The 16,550-nt window shown below is 37.6% G+C and overlaps 1 protein-coding gene across 2 annotated transcripts in view; it reads right to left on the bottom strand.

The window, feature by feature from the left end:
- FBN1 (fibrillin 1) overlaps nucleotides 1-16,550 on the bottom strand; it is a 237,397-nt gene that overhangs the window by 23,494 nt on the left and 197,353 nt on the right. For both annotated transcript variants that reach the window (NM_000138.5, NM_001406716.1), the window contains 9 exons: nucleotides 14,900-15,016; nucleotides 13,570-13,698; nucleotides 12,735-12,854; nucleotides 9,915-10,040; nucleotides 5,962-6,111; nucleotides 5,516-5,581; nucleotides 5,155-5,271; nucleotides 2,788-2,907; nucleotides 1,060-1,182 (listed from right to left, as the gene is read on the bottom strand). In NM_000138.5, coding sequence (NP_000129.3) covers nucleotides 1,060-1,182; nucleotides 2,788-2,907; nucleotides 5,155-5,271; nucleotides 5,516-5,581; nucleotides 5,962-6,111; nucleotides 9,915-10,040; nucleotides 12,735-12,854; nucleotides 13,570-13,698; nucleotides 14,900-15,016 — 1,068 coding nt within the window. The remainder of the gene's footprint in view (nucleotides 1-1,059; nucleotides 1,183-2,787; nucleotides 2,908-5,154; nucleotides 5,272-5,515; nucleotides 5,582-5,961; nucleotides 6,112-9,914; nucleotides 10,041-12,734; nucleotides 12,855-13,569; nucleotides 13,699-14,899; nucleotides 15,017-16,550) is intronic.

Here is a 16,550-nt window from a genome sequence, read left to right on the forward strand (position 1 = left end):
ATCACGCCAGCTAATTTTTTGTATTTTTAGTAGAGACAGGGTTTCACTATGTTGGTCAGGCTGGTCTCAAACTCCTGACCTCTGGTTATCCACCCACCTCGGCCTCCCAAAGTGCTGGGATTACAGGCATAAGCCACCGTGCCTGGCCAATATGACATTATTTTTATATGATAATATTAGTAAACAGGATATAATAGTAAATGACTATTTTATATTATATATCTCAAATATCTTATTCTCTACTGGTTCTTCCCTCCTTCATTTCCTTTTCTGGACTTGGTTGGGCCTTCCTCAGTCTTTACTTTCTGTCCTATTGTACTTCTTTATTTTTCTATCTTTCCCGTTTACATGCTCTGAGCTGAGAAATTTGAAATTTATTCTGCATATGATTAGGACCTTTCATTTAGGAAATTTCCCCACCCTTAAGCAAAATTATATTTACGCCATCTTGAGAGAACAGGTGTCTGTTCATTTAAGATATTGACAGGAGCAAATCAGAGCTCTTCAAGAGCAAACTCTATGATTACTGCAGTTTGTGAAATAGAGCCTAGTTCAGTGCTTAGGAAATTGCAGGTGTTCAGGAGGTATTTTTAATGGAGATGGTTTAGCTAAAGTAGATTCCACGTGTTACCCCATTCTTGAAATAGAATATCCTTTGGTGTTCTCAGAGCATTTTGTATATATAATCACCATAGCATTTATCACACTGTATTATGAGAACGTATTTATATCTGTCTCAATCTCTTCATATTGGGTTTTTTGAACGTGGGGAAATGTCTTTTTCTTTCTATTCCCATATCTTGTAGAAATACTGGCGTGTTGTGAGCATGCGATGCACAGTGAGACCTAATAAAGGATGTGCAGTGCAGTCCTCAACTTGGCTTGATGATGCTTCCAGCTACAATTTAGGGGGAAACGTGGCAGTGACAACCCCCGTATTGTCCACGGACTATTTATATTCCAATTCCCAGCCTTCTCCTACTAAGGGAAGCTTTGAGGGACATCTCCCCTCACAGATAAAGCTTCCTGGCTTAGATGACCTTGAACACGATGACTCACCTTTGCACATCCTACGGTCTTCTCTGAGCACATATCCCACGGGACATTTGCATTCATATGACCCATAAGTGTTCACACATCGGAAGGCACAGAGCAGAGGATTCTGGGCACATTCATTTATATCTGCAGCAGAGGAGAGTAAGTAAATAAGGGATCATGGACAGCAACAAAAGGGAACCTACCAATTGAACTAAAACTCTAAAACTTTACCAAAAGTTGCAATGCTTCATTGTCATAAACATGGATGGATCAAGTGGTCTCCCATTTCCCGGAAATTATAAAATGGGTTGATTATTTTATATTTGGTATAAACAGAGTGACTCTCCATCCCGGTTCTCCCAGCACAGTCCCAGTTTATGTTTGTTGTCCTGGTATAATTATTAATGATTATTTAGGTGGATGGGAAATTACAGGCCACCCAACATTTGAGGGGCTCTTCTGAAATTTTGGCTTAGAAGGCTCAGGTTGACCATTTGTCACTCCCAACAGTTACATGGCGTGGGAATCAGTTTTGCCCCATTCCGCCAAAACAATTGTGGTCAGAACAGAAACCAACTCCTCCAATATTGTTAACCACCTCTCTTTCCCCCAAACAAAGAGGCTCCTGTGAAATAACAGCAATTCTTCTGCCCAAGCAAATAGTGTTCCAGATCATTTTATACTGACAGAGACACTCAGTTTACACAGATGCCCATGTTCAAACCTTAAATAGATGGGAATGAGTTTACTGTTAATGGAAAAAAAGTCATTTCTGCAGACTGCAGAGTTTGGAACCATCAGAATGTGTTTTGGAAAAGCAGGATTAAAATAGACCATCTCAACTATCATGTTGCTCCCCAAGGCCAGTGCTGACTAAGAACACGAGTGAGAGCCCAGATCATGACTTAGTCACAACCTTTAAAGATTTACCACAACTCTGACAATGGGCATTTGATAGATCATATCTGATGAAGAGCTCTCTTTGCTACCAACTTTATTCTCTGCCTTCACCTCTCCTTCATTCTTTCCTTAGGCCAGTGAATCCCTACTTGAGAGTGTATCAGATCACCTAGAGGGCTGCTGGGCTCCACCCCACTCTCGGAGTTTCTGATTTAGGAGGTCTTGGATGAGGCCTCACAATGTGCATTTCTAATAAGTTCCCAGGTGATGCTGATACAGCTGCTCCTGGGAACCACCCTTTGAGAGCCACTGCTCTAGACACTCCCTCCCTTTCCTTCTTTCCATACATTCCACCAGGCTTACGGATGGACACTTTTCAGATGCTTATATATTACAGGCAACCGCTTTTGCTGTGATTGCCTCCAAATGGCTACAGGATGATGGTGGGTATCTTAGTGTGCAGTGCTCCTAGAAATAGAAAAGAAGAGAAAAAGAGAAAAGAAAAAGAAAGGGAGTATGAGAGACAGAAAGAAGGAGAAAGTGAGAGTAAGAAAGAAGGTATTAAACAACACGGAAGCATCTAAATATAAGTGGTAGGGAAACACCAATGAGAACTCTCTGTGATATACAGTGTAGATGTGCCATGAACACACAACTGTATCATTCTTGGATATCTCTCTTTCCCTACAGAGAAGAGGCCACAAAAGAAGAATGATCAAATGGCCCATCAGGCCTAGATGATCTTTATTATATACACCCTGAGTTGTATTTAATATTAAGACTTGTAATCAACCAATTGTTCCCAGGATCAGTACACGTAATCAACTGTTCTCTGTTTAAGAGATGTACCTTCACATGTCATCATTGGACCGGGCTCAAATCCCTCCTCGCAGGTGCATTCAAAACCTCCAATCACATTCTTGCAGGTTCCATTTCCACAAGGATTGCCAACAGAACATTCATCAGTATCTGCAAGAAACCAGGAATGTGTCCAAAACATGATGAATTGAGATAATACCTTTTATTCTATCAGAGGATTTTAAACTGTAATTTTGTTGTTGTTGTTGTTTTGAGACAGAGTCTCACTTTGACATCCAGACTGCAGTGCTGTGGCGCGATTTCAGCTCATGCAAACTCTGCCTCTCAGGTTCAAGTGAATCTCATGCCTCAGCCTCCTGAGTAGCTGGAATTATGGGTGCACATCACCACGCTCAGGTAATTTTTGTATTTTTAGTAGAGACAGGGTTTCGCCATGTTGGCCAGGCTGGTCTTGAACTCTTGACCTCAAGCAATCTGCCCACCTCGGCATCCCAAAGTGCTGAGATTAAAGGTGTGAGCCACCAAGCCCAGCCTGATCTGTAATGTTTAATTCTCATTCTGTTCTTGCAAAAAGGGAGTGTGCATGTCTTATTATCTCAGGTTTATAGCCGTGAAATTCGACTTGCTCAGTGGCAGTGGCAATGACAGTGAGAATGACAGTGCCTGGACATATAGCCCTTACAGTGCTCTTCTCCATGAGTTTCTCCAGCCTCCCACATTATAAACTAAATCTTCTACTTGGAGTAGATGCTCTAAGGGTTAAAAAAAAAAAGGCCCCTATCACTCGTCAAAAGTTTCTGCTTGTTTAAAGCAGAAATACATCCACAGTTTGGCCTTACATTACATCACTCCCCAAGAAGCCTTAAACATGATGGATTTTTGCCAGATATAAAATAAAAGACTAAACTTACGTAAAATAAAAGACCAGAGGTTAAGTAAAATTAATACATCAAATAAAATCAAGATTCAAGTAGATTGTGTTGATTCTGTTGAAACCAGATGGTTTACATTAGGAAGAGGAAAGGCTAGAAAAAAATATGTTTAGGTTATGACCGCTCTAAAACACAGGCGGAGAGAACAAATCTTTGACCAGAGACCTAAAATGTGTGTGTGTGTGTGTGTGTGTGCATGTGTGTGTGTATATATATGTGTGTATATATATGTGTATATATATGTGTGTATATATATGTGTGTATATATATGTGTATATGTGTGTGTGTGTGTGTGTGTGTGTGTGTGTGTGTGTGTATATATGCCTTCTAACCCATCCACCTAGAATACTCACCATTCTTATTCTGACACATCCCTTGGGGAGAATATCTCCCCTTAGGAAAGAAATAATTTTGAGAAATAACATTGATATTTTAGCTATCTAAGGCACAGAAGAGTAATGGCTCTTGTCAACAGTTGTTTCTTGTGCTGAGGTTCTTAAGTCAAAAGTAAAGGCAAGAGGCTATGGTGGGGAGCTCCTAGGCGAAGAGGCTCATTTCATATGCACATATTAGCACTAACTGAAGATTCTGAGGAGAAAACATTGAAATATTTGCTTTTGTTCTACTATAATATTCAATTACTGTCAAGAATATTATTTCTGTTTCAAGTTAATAAAAATCCCGATACCATTGATCTTTAGAGCTGCAAAGGTAATTAGAAATGTTATTTTACTTGCATAATATTATATTCTAAGGCCTAGAAAAGCTAAAAAAACTGCTTAAACTCCCACAGCCATAGCTGGAGCTGAAATCTTCATAACCTGATTTCTTGTATGGAAAAAGTACTTTCTAATTCACACAGACAAACTCTCAGCATTTATGCTAGTATTAATTATGTTATATTGAATCACTCTGGAATTCTTAGATAACTAAATATGATCCTTGGATTTAAGTTAGAGTTAGTGTTGATTAAGGGTCAAAGGCCAGCCAGAGGAGCCATTATTTGACATTTTAAAAACAGGGTTACAAAAAAAAGATTGTGTACTGGTTATATAGCCTTTCATCTTACTAAATGTAAAAGAATCCAGATAAAATTTTTATTTGATAAGGGAATAAGATTATGACCATTAACAATTTTTAAAAAATTTCACAAAGACTTTCATTATGATGTTGTCCTTTCTAGTATCTCTTCTGATATGTCCAGTGTCTGCCTTCACCATTAGGCTGTAAGGTCCATGAAAGGAAGGAACTTGTCTTTGTGGTTCAGTGCTGCAGCTCCAGAGCCTAGCACAGTGCCTGGGACCTGATGGTGACTCACTAGTATTCTAAATGAATGATGTATGAGTGGATGGATAAAACTTATTTCAGTGCCATCTTGGTACCTATATTCATGGCTATACAGTGAATACTGTATAGCTTAATTTTTAATTTGTAAAGTTCCTATGGAAGAAAACTTATTACTCACCTACACATTCATTCCCTGCTAGAATATAACCAAAGGGACACTCGCAGCGATAGGAACCATCTGTATTGATGCACTGTCCATGTTTACAGACATCGGGTTCTTTGCATTCGTCCATATCTTAAGCAAGAGAAAAAAAATAGTGAATAACAAGGTATTTTTTAAACGTGAAGATAAATTATGATCATTTCAGTGTTTAATCAAAAGATTATCTAATAATGCAATAATATAATTGCTATCTAAATGAAGGGACAAAAAAGTAGCACTTAATTTTCCAAGATAGATGGAGAAAAATAAGAATAACTAGAGAAGAAGCAGATTGAGAATACTGAGAAATGCTGAGAATCCAGCACAGGCAACTGACCAACTGCTGAATCATCAGGTCCCACGATGATCCCACTTCCATAAGGACATATCTGGCGGAAGGCCTCTGTGGTGGAGACACTCATTAATAGATAGAACAATAGCAATTCATTACAAGCTTCTCCACAAGTATTTTGAGGTAGAAAATTGCTACATGCTGTGCATATTGATAAATGATGGAAAAAACAAGCCCAGAAACCAGAGGAAGTTATTTAACGAGACTCCCTAAGATGTTGTGTCTACTCCTTGGGCATCTGTGATTCATGACATAATTAAAAAGAAAATAACTACCAAGCTCCTGAGATAAAATAATTTTTAATGAACATTCTAATTAGACTTACAATTAAATTAAATTGTGTTACTGTCTTTAAGGCCTACAGTCTTACTTACATCATGGCCAGTCTGCACCCTGCATGGCCCAGAGAGAAATGCAGATGACAGACATACCATCAGGTTCCGTGGGGCAGAGCTCGCAGGGGTCTCCCCAGCCTTCTCCCTTCAAGGCACAGCAGCATTCCTGCTTGGAGTGATTTCTGGATTTGGGTGATGAACACTTTCCTCCTTCAAACTTCGCATAACAGTAGCTCATTCGCAAATCTGCAGCATAAATTTATGACACCCTTCAGTTGCTTTCCTACTGAGTCCGTATTGCACCATAGCAAATAAAGAACAACCCACTATGTTATATATGTTCTCCTCTCAGGACCACAGCAATACTCCTTACGTGATTCTAATGGTAACTGAGCTGAGATTGTTAAAGTCATGGGTATCTTTTGTATAGTGAGATCTGATGAACAACTCTATGAACTTAAATTTATTACTTCTCATTTTAGTCACTATTTCAAAGTAACCCGATGTGAATCCAATAAAATCCAAAACTGACAGTTTTCAAAACTGACATCTGTCAGTGACTTCAGGATTGGAAAGTCCACAGAAGGAATCATTCACAAGATTCCTTCATTGATAGCTCTGCTTGCAATATCATGTTTAATGAGCACACTAGAGTAAGAGAATCCTCTTAGTTCTAATATTTACTGTGATATCACACTTTGTGGTTTATTCTGTGTCCCCTAAACTCTGGAACTAAAATAAAATCCCAGATCACAGGCACAGAACAAATACAGAAGTGGCAACTTTGTAGATGGGCAAAAATACAACACAAGGGTTGGTCACTGAAGCAGATACTCCCGGAGATGCTGGCTACAAAATGCAAGTGGGGCTTTTTGTAGATTTTACACACACACACATATGCAGAGCTGTGTCAATGTTAAATTTTTAAAAGAAGCTTGTTTAGCTCAACACAGAGAGGGAAGGAAGAGGAGGGCAGGGCTGTGGGTGGGTGGGAACAGAATAGTCTTTCTTTGAAAGAATATATTTCAATATTGATTATTGCTTTGATGACTCCAACAAAGAAGATGGGATCTACTTCCTATAAAATTCTCCAACATTGCTTGACATAATTTTGGAAACGGGCTTTTCCATTTCTCATACAACACATTGACTCCAAAAAGTGAGCTCAACCAGAGGTATGGACTGTGTTTTCCCTCGAACTTGACTTCTTAAAGCCTTCCAAAACTCCTCTCATTACACAGAGGCCACAATCTGCAGGTTTAAAAGAAATGCTTTCATACCCATATTGTACTATTCTTCTTTCTTTATATCTGACCACCTCTGCCTTTTTCATTCACTTCCATCACTGTTTTTCAATCCCAGGAACCATACTATCATAACCACCTAAGCACTTCTGTTAAGACAGTCTCACCAGCTTTTATTTCATGACAAAGAAGACAATGTAGGAATAACAGAGTTGCCAGAGATAACAAAGGAAAGGTTTTCATGAATTAAAGTTTCTATCTATCTATCTATTATATTTACCAAGTTATGTAAATCAAATTCAGGTAGCCTCCCCAGTAAACCTGCTCAACCTTTCATGGCTACCAACTCATCCAGATAAATCATCTCTCTAATTTCTATTCCACTTCCCCATCTGTTGTGGCAAGGACCTGGCAAGCACCTTTCAATGAATTATCCTTCTGAAGGTCAAGAGCAATAAAAGTCAATCCTGCGGCATCTCTGCCACCCAAATGTTTGCTTTGCTGAGAAACTTCAAGACTGAACAAATTCTTGTTTCTTGGAGAACACTTTTGATCTCTTTTATTCTTCAAGTTCTTTGTCACATATAATGTTTTGTATTTATCAGTCTTGTTTTTGTTATTTATGCCTCCAACTACCTTTAGATATAATTCAGTGACTACTCACAAAAATGTCTCAACAAATATATGAAAACTTAACTCTGCTTTGTCTTCCAGTTTGTAGTGTTTCTTTAAATATGTATGTTGTAATATTGGTGTATTAAAATTCTCATTCTCTTTTCCTTTAATAGCTGACTTCGTCCCAGACCCCAGCTCTATCTCCCCCACACCACTCCACCCCGAAAAAAAAAAATCTTGGCATTAGACAGAGACTCAAATGCACGAAGTCTTGAGTCAGTCTAAGTGGCAAATTCTCTTCGTTGAACTTTGCAAGTGGGAGTGGCTCATTTACACCTGTGGTCTTTTGTGCCAGGCTCTGTCCACCTGAGTCCCATGGCATTCGCTTTTTAAAAAACATTATCCACGGTTCTGTGGAATTTTCTCATTTCATGAGCAATAGAAGTCTGACTCCTAATTTGTCATCTTACAAGAAAAACCCAGCTCTCAATTTCCTGGCTCCAGCAAAATCTGTGCTCTGTAGGAGACTTACTTTAGCTTGTGGTGATTCTCTAGAATTGGCTTATTAATCAAGGGTGTCTTGCATTGGGGAAGAGAGCTGTGCTTGCCCACATACTTCAGGACTCACTGGGATGCCTGTTTACCAGTCCATCTGCAAAGAGCCCTTAATGACCTCGAAATTTCATCAGAACTACAAAAGTCACTTTCCCTGCTTGCATTCCTCAGTTCTGGCTCTGCCTCCTGGAGCTGAGCATGTGGCAGGGCTGCTCACAGCTGGGCTGATTCTTCCTGCAGCGTTAGCTTGCTCTGTGATGGGCCAGTGCAAATTGAATTAATAGCCTAGGAGTTTCCTCTGGCCTGCCACATCGGCAGATTCACACCTGGTTTCTCACTGCTTTCTTTCCAAATTCAGGCCAAGCCAAAGGCACACAAAAACAAGGGAGTAGGAGTTAGAATTTATCTGACTGGTCTGTACCATGCAGAATATCTGTTCGAATTAAGCACCACCCTGAAATCCACACAGACCACTGACAACTACCAACAAGCTGAAATCAACCGGAGAACTCTCAACCCTCTCCTTCTTACTTCCCAAATAACTAGTTGAAAAGTAAAAAGTTAATCAGATCATTAGAATAACAACAAGAGTCTACAAAGGACTCAGAAACTAACAAAGCTTTGTCACAGTAAGGCTGGTTGGGCAGATATTATTGTTGTTTAAAATGAGGAAATTGAGCTTCCAAAAGATTAAATGACTTGCTCTAGACTAAATATGGCAGGGCTGGGACCCCAAACTCAATTTTTTGAACCTTAAATGATATCCAGTGCCTCTTCCATATTTGGTAATACGGAAGCAAAACCAAAAAACCATGAAAAAAAAAAAAAACCCAACTCAACATCAAAACAACAGTAACAACCAAACAACAAAAGCTACAAGTGGAAAAAAAAGAAATACATGTGTTTGTTTCATCTCCCTTCCCCGGAATTCATGAAACTAGTTTGTGTATGTAGATATCCATACACAACTGTATTGTTTAGAAAAGTCTAAACAGTTTTCTGGGACTTAAGTACATACTGTGTTATGCCAAAGTTCAGGATCCTTTTGATTTTTGTTTAAAATTTGAAAGTCATTGGCAAACCCTTGAAAATCTTTACTCAAATAGTTGACAAGTATTATTCCTAAAAATGAACAATGGCCCAGCAAGAATCCTGATCAGTTTAAATTTATTTTTGTTTTCTTGGAGAATTTGTGATATAAGGGATGGTTACCATATTGTGGGGGCAAATGGGTTAATGTGCAGTTTTTCAGTCTCAAGTCTAACTTTGGACCCACATTTTTCAGCTTATCTCTTCAGAGGTAGGGGATATGTAGCTCAACTTCCCCCAGGCTTTGCTGTTTCGGTGGCTCAAGGTGTTTCCCCACTGATGGGCCTATCAGCATTTGTGTTCTTAGTGGGAGAGAGGTTTATGTGTCAGTACAATTGTATAAGCAACCATAACTTGATGGATGAGTTTTTAACCTTAAAAGTGAAAATGAACCTTCTGACATATGGTTATCATTAGACCTCTGGGTGAATGAAAACTCTCCATCTTCCTGTTCACAAAGAAACAGAGCTTTGCCATGTTTGAAAAATAAGACCACCACAAATAAACATGCAGCATTGAAAGCCCAAAGCCTTCAAAGACACTTACCTTGGCACCTTCTTCCACTGGAGGACAAGGAAAACCCTTCTGGACACAGACATTTGAAGCTGCCTTCAGTGTTACTGCATGTGCCCAGGGCACAAATTTCTGGCTCTTCGACACACTCATCAATATCTAAAAGAATCACATGAGTCAAACAAAGTCAAAACACGATGGAGACATCATCAGGTACCAAACACACAATGTGGACACACAAAGGGCAACTGAGTTTCCAAACTCTTACAATAATAAAGGTATTTTTCTGTACCATAACACTGTGGACTGGACTTCTAGGTTGTCATGACTTCAAAAGAATTAGTTTTGACAGTTATTGATATAAAAATGGAATGTGCAACTGCCTTCTAAGGGGTGCAGTGACAAACGTCTCTTACCCAGACTGAGTTGCTTGGCTAACTAGAAAAGTCAGAGTAATTTCATAGTACCCTAGGCCAGGAAAGAAGCATGAAATTCTAGAGTCACACTGCACCATTGTTCAGGAAGCAGAAATGCTGAGACTTTAAGCACATTGCTAGTGACTCACTCAATGTGAGATCTAGGCCTTTGATCCAAATTTACTCCCCTCCAACCACCCACAGAACTTTTCCCAATACCCTATGCTATAGCCCTAAAACTGTGAATTTTACAAGAACACTAAGACTCATGAAAATAAGTATAATCCTATGAAGTGCAAACTAACGATATCATAGAAGATGACGCTCCTGATTTGTGGGTTAATCTTTCTGAAGACACAAAAATACCTTTCTTGTACAGGCTTTTTCTTTCATCATATAGACAATAGGAAACTGTACACTTAGAATTGTGGCATGTTTTCTTTAGTATATTATACATCTTAGCTCCTGTACAGTGGTAGTTAAGAGTAGCCAATAAGAAGTTTGAATGGCTTGAGTAACCATATGTCCTAGTTTGCCTGGGGGAGCCCCAGCTCATGCCAGTTGGCCTGACTTTATTGTTAATAGTGCCCTTTTCTACTTTCAAAATTGGCTTGGGTTGGTCAATAAAACATACGATTACCTATGGAAAAATATGCCCACTCTATTCCAACAAACTCACTTATCTTTCCTCCTGACTTTCAGCAGGAATTTTTAGTGAACAAAGTGGTAAGTCTTAATTCTGAGCCATGCTACTTTTATGAGAATACTTTTTTATTTTTTCAACAAAACACAAAATATCCTTGTATCCTGGGCTCTTTATTTTTATATTTGTGCAAAGGTTTCTACTCACACCAAAATGTACTTGCATTATACAACTTTATTCTCAAGAGGCCCAACTAAGGAAAAGTTGAGAAATTAACCTTATTATCTTGACTTAATATTGTAAATACCACACAATAAATATTCTAGAAATGTGCAATGCCAAGTGATTCTCTTTCTGTGCAACGCAAAATCAGCTTCTCCATCATGCCATGTTATTGGGTTGCATTTATACCTGTGTTATGTTCCCTGTGGTTTATTAATGAATCTGATCTTCTATTGCCGATTGAATTACTCCATTCTGACACTCCTTCCACCCCTATATCCAACCTTTTCTTAATATAAAAGTTAACTTTTGTGAAAATGCTCAAATGTTTTCAGTTGTTTTTAATTATTACTATGACTATTTATATTATGGTAGAAATTAGCCTGTACATGCCAACTTATTAGGATAGGGCCAAATATTGTAGAATGGGCACATTCATTGACTGTGCAGTTATTTTTCTTTCTATATATATTCTGTTCAATTTAGCGAACTTATGTATTGATAATAAAGCCAATTTTTAATAAAAGTAAAATAACATGCTTAAAAAATTTGCATCTAGACAATTTCAATAAGGTGTTTCCATTTTAAATATCACCACTTGATTGTTACTTAAATTGGATATATAATAAAATTTCTAATTGACGATATTAAAAGTAGAGAAAATTCTCATTGTGGATTAGATGCAGACCTGTTTAAAGTCAGGGGTGTGAACTAGGTGACTTCTTGAAAATCCTTTCAACCCTACTTATTTATGAAATTCTAGCAATTAATGTCCTTCACTTAATGATATGACATATTTGTTGAGGTTAAAGGAAGGCCCTTGGGAGGCTGAGGAAGGAGGATCATTTGAGGCCAGGAGTTTGAGGCCAGCCTGGCAACATAGGGAGGCCCCATCTCTACAAAGAATTAAAAAATCAGCCAGGCATGGTGGCACATGCCTGTAGTCCCAGCTACTCCAGAGGCTGAGACAGGATGATCACTTGAGCCCAGGAGTTCAAGCTTACAGTGAGCTATACTCGTGCCACTGTACTTCAACCTGGTGACAGAGTAAGACCCTGTCTCCATTAAAAACAAACAAACAAAAAGGAATGTAATACTGTAAAATTTGCTGAGAATTTATTTGAAATAAGACATTTCCACTGCTCTATAGGTAAAAACAAAATAGACAAACGATATAACCACATTCATCCAACCTTGAATGTGGTCATTTAAAGTTTTTAAATGGAATCAGGAGCTATTTTTAGCTGCAAAGAATCGCCACTTAAAAAATGTAGTTCGGAAATACTGGGAGTAGGACACAGCATTCCTAACAAATGTGTGAAAGCACAGTGGAAAAGAGTCAGGATCATATGATCAGTCATATGCACAGAACAAAATAACTTCATTAGAGATTAGCATGATAATTAGTGCTTCTTGTCTTGCCAGAAGGATGAGACCATGTCATACCTATGCCCTTGCATTTGTTTCTGATAAAGTATTCCAAAATGAAGACGTCATTACAAAAATTCTCATTCTGCTAAGTCCAGTGGACACCCGACACTCCTCATTTGCTACAACTGATAGCTTTCCTACCTTCACACTTCTCATTTTGAAGACTGTATCCAGGTGGGCAAATGCATCTGTAGGACCCATCCAAGTTTTGACAGGTACCTGGTGCACATTTTCTGGGTTCTAGAAGACATTCATTGATATCTGCAAAGAAAAGGGAAAAATAAGGAAGAGGTTCCCACTGGCATGACTTCCATCAAACAATTAAAATTCAAAAAAACTAGAATGAATCAAAGAAATACATAAAGCAAATTAAAGTTCATAAAATTCCACCATGGAGAAAAATAAGCAATAATAAAAATAAGCTTTATCAGCTTTCAAAAATGTATAGCATAACAACCATATTTTATTTTACCTGCATCAAATTAAATGTTTCCAGAAAATTGTAGCATGTGAAAAGTCAGTGAGTATATAGATTTTAAGGATACTCAAAAGATATGAGAGCTTACTACAAAAGTATTTTAAAGAAAAATATTTAAGAAGGGAAATCACAATTGCTTACAGAGCAATTTAGCAATTTCACTGTTTAATAGTTTGAGTATTCTTGGTGAGTACAATAGCTTAATTTTTAAAATAAGGGAAAAAGTGATTATATATATATATACACATATATATATATACACACACACATATATATATACATATATATATACACACATATATATATGTATATATATATACATATATATATGTGTATATATACTTAAATAAAAACAAGCCTTTATAGGGAGGATTAATATAATTCTACTCTGACTTTTCCTCCAGGTTTCCAGAAAGAAGCATTAGAACAGAGACTGCATGATTCCTTGAGTGGTCTCTGGAAGCATTCTTTCCAGGTCTTTCTAAGTCCTGTACTTACCCACACAGGTCCTCCCATCTGGAGCCACCTCATAGCCTTCATTGCACTGGCACTGGAAAGACCCCACTGTATTAATGCATTGGCCATTTCTGCAAAGATTCCCATTTCCACTTGCACATTCATCAACATCTGCAGAAAAATCCCCAACAATCCTTTAATATATTCCAAAGATGTCATAATCCCAGCAATAATCAAAACTTCTAAAAGAAAAAATACTTTTTCTGAATTTTAGTGGCCTTTGCTGGCTTAGCCAAACAAGAAATGCCAATGAAGATCTAGTTTGCAACAACAGAACTGGCTTTAAGCACCTATACACATTTAACAATAAGATTACATTATTATATTAGAGACTGACAATTTACATTCAAATTTCCTATCAGTTTTTCCTTGATTTTCCTTTAGATTTTATTTTTAAATTTTAGATTTAAAAATTTTTTGATTTAAAAAATAAAATCCTAATACACAATTCAGCTAAGGGCATTCCTTTGTATTCTTGCAATTAGATTTAAATTAGCCTATAGCACAATAAAATTTAAAGAATTTGGCTTATTACTCTTGCCTAGTATGTTTTAGAAGGAGATTCTGTAGATTCAATGATTTATTTAAGAGAGGCTACATGAAACATCTAGACCAGAAGGTTCATAGTCCTGAATCATATAATTTCTATACAAAGAATCACTTTTGTATATTTAAAAATTTTTTGGCTTAATCTAATTCCATTTATTTTGAAATTTATTTAATTTACAGCAAAGTAGACATAAAAATTATAGCTGCTAATAAGCATTTTAATAAAAGTAATGGATATAGTTACAGTGGTTCCCTCTTATCTATGGTTTTGCTTTCTGGGGGTTCAGTTATCCAAGGTCAGCTGCTACCCAAAAATAGGTGAGTATAGTACAATAAAATATTTTGAGAGAGAGAGAGACAGTGCACAAGAAAGTACAGTCATATAACTTTTATTACAGTATACTGTTATAATTGTTCTATTTTCTTATTAGTTATTGATGTTAATCTATTACCATGCCTAATTTATAAATTAAACTTTAGGTATGTATGTGTAGGAAAAAACATGGTATATAGAGGGTTCAGTACTATCTGTGGTTTCAGGCATCTGCTGGGGGTCTCAGAATGTATCCCTCACGGATAAGGGGAGACTTCTGTAATATATTTCATGTTGAGCACATTGTATTTGACAAGTCCCATAACCAATTGTTATGCATAAGATAGCATACATTTTTAAAAGACAGCTGGAACACTAGAGATGATGCTAATTACAAAGAACACATATAAAACTGACTTCCTTTGCTGATGCACAATTTTGCACACGCACCTATACAGTCATTGTTGTGAGAAAGGATGAAACCATGATTGCAGCGGCAGTTGAAGGAACCAATTGTGTTCCGGCAAGTTCCATTCCCACAGGCATCTCTTTCACATTCATTTATGTCTAGTAGGAAGAAAGGCCATAAAGAAACATAATTATAAGTAGAAAAAGTGGTTACACGGTTACAGTGGCTAAAGAGCATTTTAGGGTTCACCAGGCCTCATCCATAGGCTGAGAACTTCTTGATGTTGGTATCAGCTCCAGCAGCAGTCATCCCTGCAAGATACCAGGCAGCGGCAAAGCTCTAAATCTTGGGAATAAATGGTTTCCTTGGCTGGCCAGTGAAAGGAGGCAAGCTAAGGACATGAGACCTGAACAAGAATTATTTTATTCTATTTACTTCTAGAATTCTCCACCCTTGCCACTTTTCTCAAATATTTTCACTTGAAAATGGAAAAAACTCTGTGTGCATCTGGGTCTTGAGGTGTTGCCACCTTTGGCAAACTTCAACCTTCAAGATTCTCACTCCAGTTTACCAAAAAGCAGTGACTCACCTGGCATTACCCCACAATCAGCAACAAAATAACTCAGCTTTCTAGCTCACCTGTCATTTCAGACAACTTTTCCTTTTTCCCTACACCCATAAAAACATAGAACAACTTCCACCAATGATGACTTCTCTCACTTTTCTAAACTACCCCAAAGAGATGGCACTTAATTTGTTCTTTTCATACATGCTTGCATTCTTATTCGCCTTTTGATTGGTCCGTACTTTTCTCTGATGATTTTGTAAAGCTACTCTGACATCTTATATGTCTTTGCATCTCATCACAGCAGCTAGCATATTTCTTATAAAGAGTAGATGCACATTATATTAAGGAGGAAGTAATAAAAAATTTAATGAAAGAAAGTTGTTACTGCTGGTTTGAAAGAATGAGGCACCATGAAGAGGGACAAGGATGAAATGAGAGAGAGAGAGAGTGGAAGGTAACAACGGAGAATAGCAAAATGTAATGATTAGAGCTAGGATTCCCTTTCTTTTCACATTTTGGACATGAAGATAAATGATCTGTGATTCCTGAATCAGGAAGCTATTGCTAACCCAAAGGGACTCTAATGTGTGTCTGTGGTTGAAGACTACACCCAGATGAGTCATTGCTAGTAATCAAGAATTTTTGCCTTGATTCATTTTTAGCCAAACTGGTGAAGTTCTTTGGTTGGGAAGGTTCTATGTTAGGGGGCTCCAGAAAATTCAGATGAGAGATGTAGAAAGAAAGTTGGGCAGGATCATCATAGCTTTTACACAGGTTAGCTGCCCAGTGATGAGTAGGGCTGTCAGTGCTCTTGTCATTACTCTGGAGAAGATACAACTTTATGAGAAATGTTCCCAAATGGATGAACCCAGTCATAGCCAAAGTCAAGGACTTAAACATTACTATATTAATTGTTCTTTCAGCTGTGAATCTGATTTATGTTCTTAATGTCCCAAAAAGACTTAATGGTATTGCTTTAAAGTAGAAAAATAAAGGAAGGAAAAGAAGAAAATGATTCATTACACACTGAAGTTTATTCTAAATCAGCATCCTGATAATAGAGAAATCAGGAAAGAGATTTAAAATCCTGAGCTCTTTTTCCTCTAGAAAAATGATTAACTTTT

Source organism: Homo sapiens, chromosome 15 (genome assembly GCF_000001405.40).
Source record: "Homo sapiens chromosome 15, GRCh38.p14 Primary Assembly".
Taxonomy (NCBI): Eukaryota; Metazoa; Chordata; class Mammalia; order Primates; family Hominidae; genus Homo; species Homo sapiens.